At 42.1% G+C, this 3,797-nt stretch overlaps 1 annotated feature.

Moving 5' to 3' along the window:
• Window positions 2,469-3,048: an enhancer, noted in NCBI's record as "OCT4-NANOG-H3K27ac hESC enhancer chrX:66313769-66314348 (GRCh37/hg19 assembly coordinates)". NCBI's record gives its function as "activates a minimal SCP1, AML or CMV promoter by ChIP-STARR-seq in primed H9 embryonic stem cells {active_cell/tissue: H9 hESC(primed)}" and the evidence as "EXISTENCE:reporter gene assay evidence [ECO:0000049][PMID:30033119]".

Raw genomic sequence — 3,797 nt, 5'->3', positions numbered from 1 at the left:
TTTCTGTCCAGATTTCATGTTCTATGAAACTGTGTCTTCAAGTCAAGTGCCCCTTCTTTATGCTTCTGCAAGATGCTATTTGGACAACTATCACTCCACTTATGTTTTGTGTTGAAATTGTGTTTACTCTTTCTCCTATTAGGCTGTGAAATGTTTGGCCTAACACATGGTATGGCACTTTGTAGGCACTTATGTCAGTGTTTCCTGAAGTGAACTAGAATTATTTCTGACACCATGTTCAAAAGTCGTGGTATGTGGACAAAGTAGAAAACTGATGTCACAGAGCCCAAGGGGATTTCACACTTAAGCTCCATTCCTTTCTCCCTGAGTTACTCTGTAAGGGCAGTCAAGGATCAATAGTGAGAAAGGCAGAAGTCTTGACAAGGAAATCACTTTTTGGATCCTCTGACATCATGGTAGCTGCCTCTTTTCCTGGCTACTTTCAAAAATTTGAGCCTAAATTTCTTTTTCCTTTCTAAGGTTATTGACAGCTGGAATCCAATTTCTGAGAGTTCTCATTTAGTTTCTCTGACTTGCCTTGCAAACCACATTTCTGACAACCAACTCATATCTTCTGTGGAGGCCTATCTTTTGTGTATCCCTTTTCTTGCCAAAACAAAGAAGATTCTCTCTTTATTTTCTGCTCTGGCTCAGTCTCCAGCAGCCCAGCATCAGAATTTCTGTTAGGAGGCGTAGACCAAGGCTTACCCTTGCTTCATCCTCTTTTGAGATTCCAGATGTAAAGCAAATGGTGAAAACAACATAGTTCCCTGTACTTTGGAATCTGGCTGAAAAGGATGGCCATATGGGGGAGATTTTACTTGTATTTAGACTTGTTCCAACCACAAAATTAATAGAAGAATAATAAAGATGGGAGGGGAGAGATTAGAGACCACAGTTTTGTGAGAGAAACATTTTGAGCTTGTTTGCTTTCTAATTTAGGAACCTGGTCCATCTTACCTAAATAATACCCCTCTCCCACATAGCCCTGAATAATTCACTGTGGGAGAGGGACAAAAAATACACCATAATAAAGTCTAGACTCCCCCTTTCTGCCACCATATAACTGGAGATATGGGATTACAACAGGCTAAGGCAGTACCAGAACCAGGAGACTAAGCTTAGTCAGCTATGGCCTTTCTCTGCCCATAGAATGACTATACCTGGGAGCCAAAAGTATCTCACAAAGCAATCTTTTTCAGGTAAGATACTGTTATCTATGCTCTCATCTTTAAACTTCTAGACTTTAATCTCTAGAAGGGATCCCAAAAATCATCCAGGGTGTTTTGATTCTTTGGTTGGTTGGTTGGGTGTGCAATGAAGTCTTTCATTCAAATAAAATCTTACATGCAATTGAAGGTCTACAAGAGAAAGCAAAGCTGCTCTGGAAAAATGGGGATATGGGCTGTATTAGTCAATTTTTGCATTGGTATAAAGAAATACCTGAGGCTTGGTAATTTATAAAGAAAAGAGTTGAATTAGCTCATGGTTCTGCAGGCTGCACAGGAAGCATGATGCTGACATCTGTTTCTGATGAGGGCCTCAGGAAGCTTACAATCATGGCAGAAGGTGAAGGGGAAGTAGGCTTGTTATGTCATGAGAGCAAGAGCAAGAGAGAGAAGGTGGGGAAATGCCACACTCTTAACCAAATCACTCGTGAACTCAGAGCAAGAAATAACCCATTACAGCAAGAACGGTGCTAAGCTATTCATGGGGGATTCTCCCCCATGATCCAACACCTCCAACTAGACCGCAACTCCAACAATGGGGATTACCTTTCAACATGAGATTTGGAGGGGACAAATATCCAAACTATATCATCGAGCCCCTGGCTCCTAAAATCTCATGTCCTTCTCACATTGCAAAATAAAATCATACTTTTCCAATAGTCCCCCAAAGTCTTAACTTTCCAGCATGAACTCAAAAGTCCCAAGTATTGAGCCCAAAGTCCAAAGTTGCATGTGGAGATGTTTCTTCTACCTATGAGCCTGTCAGATGGAAAAACAAGTTATTTACTCCCAAGGTGGAATGATGGTACAGACATTGGGTAGACATTCCCATTTCAAAAGGGAGAAATCAGCCAAAAGAAAGGGGCAATATTCCCCACACAAGCCTGAGAACCAGATATGGCAGTCATTAGATTTTAAAGCTCTAAAATAATCTCCCTTGACTCCATGTCCCACATCCAGGGTACACTGGTATGAGGGGTGGATGCTATACTGTGGGCAGTTCTGCCCCTGTGGCTTTGCTAGATGCAGCGCTTGTGGCTGTCCTGATGGGTTGGAGTCCAGTGCCTGGACTGAGAATGAAAAGCACTGCTGACTCTATCATTCTCAGATCTGGAGGGTGGGGTCACCCTTCCAATAGCTCCACTAGGCAGTTCCTTGGTAGTGTGGGTCCTCCAACCCCACATTTCCCCTCAGTCCTGCCCTAGTAGAGGCTCAGTGCTGTGGCTCTGCCCCTGCAGCAGGCACCCAGATTTTTCCACACATCCTCTGAAATCTAGGTGGAAGCTGCCAAGCCTACTTCATGTTTGTGTTCTTTGTATCTGCCGGCTTCATACTATGTGGAATCTACCAAGGCTTATAACTTGCATTCTCTGAAGCAGCCGCTTGAGCTGTACCTGGGCACTTCTGAGCTGAGGCTAGAGCCAGAGGATCCAGGATGTGAGGTGCAGTGTCCTGAGGCTGGGCAGGCCACTGAAACCATTCTTTCTTTCTAGGCCTCTGGCCTGTGATGGGAAGGGCTGTTCTGAAGACTACTGAAATGCCTTCCAGGTCTTTTTCCTATTGTCTTGGATATTAGCACTGGGCTTCCTTTTAGTCATGCTAATCTCTCTAGCAAGTGGTTGTTCCATAGCCTGCTTGGATTCTTTCTTTACCACAGGCCAGGCTGCAAATTTTCCAAACTTGTACTATCTGCTTCCCTTTTAAATATAAGTTCCAACTTTAAGTCATTTCTTTGCTTGCATATCTGATCATAGACTGTTAGAGGTAGGCAGACCACCTCTTGAATGCTTTGCTGCTTAGAAATTTCTTATGCCATCATTATATGAAAAAAATACATGCACATGCATGTTTATAGGAGTGCAATTCACAACTGCAAGGATATGAAACCAACCTAAGTACCCACTGACCAATGAGTGGATAAGAAAATGTATATATACAACATGAAATACTACTCAGCCATAAAAGGAACTCAGGAAAGGAAAAATAATGTCTTTTACAGCAACTGTGATGGAACTGGAAGTCATTATCTAGGTGAAGTAACTCAGGAATAAAAAAAAAAATGTCCTATGTTCTCACTTATGAGTGGGAGCTAAGCTATGAGGATGCAAAGATGTACAGAACAATATAATAGACTGTGGAGACTCTGGGGGGGAGTTTGGGAGGGAGGCAAGGAATAAAAGACAACATATTGGGTACAGTGTTCACTGCTCAGATGACAGGTGCACTAAAATCACAGAATTTACTACTAAAGAACTCATCCATGTAACAAAAAAAAAACACCTGTATCCCCAAAACTATTAAAATGAAACATAAAACAAATAAAGTTCTCCTTCCAGATACCCTAGGTTATCACTCTTAAGCACAAACTTCAACAGATCTTTAGGACTTGGACATAGTGCAGCCAAGTTCTTTGCTAGGGTGTAACATGGGTGACCTTCACTCCAGTTTCCAATAACTTCCTCATTTCCACCTGAAACCTCATCACCCTGGACTTCACTGTCCATATTTCTATCAGCACTTTTGTCATAGCCACTTGGAACCATTTGTTTTCAAACTTTTTCTCATCCT

The sequence above is a fragment of the Homo sapiens genome, chromosome X (genome assembly GCF_000001405.40).
Source record: "Homo sapiens chromosome X, GRCh38.p14 Primary Assembly".
Taxonomy (NCBI): Eukaryota; Metazoa; Chordata; class Mammalia; order Primates; family Hominidae; genus Homo; species Homo sapiens.
This window is presented reverse-complemented; position numbering and strand designations above follow the sequence as displayed.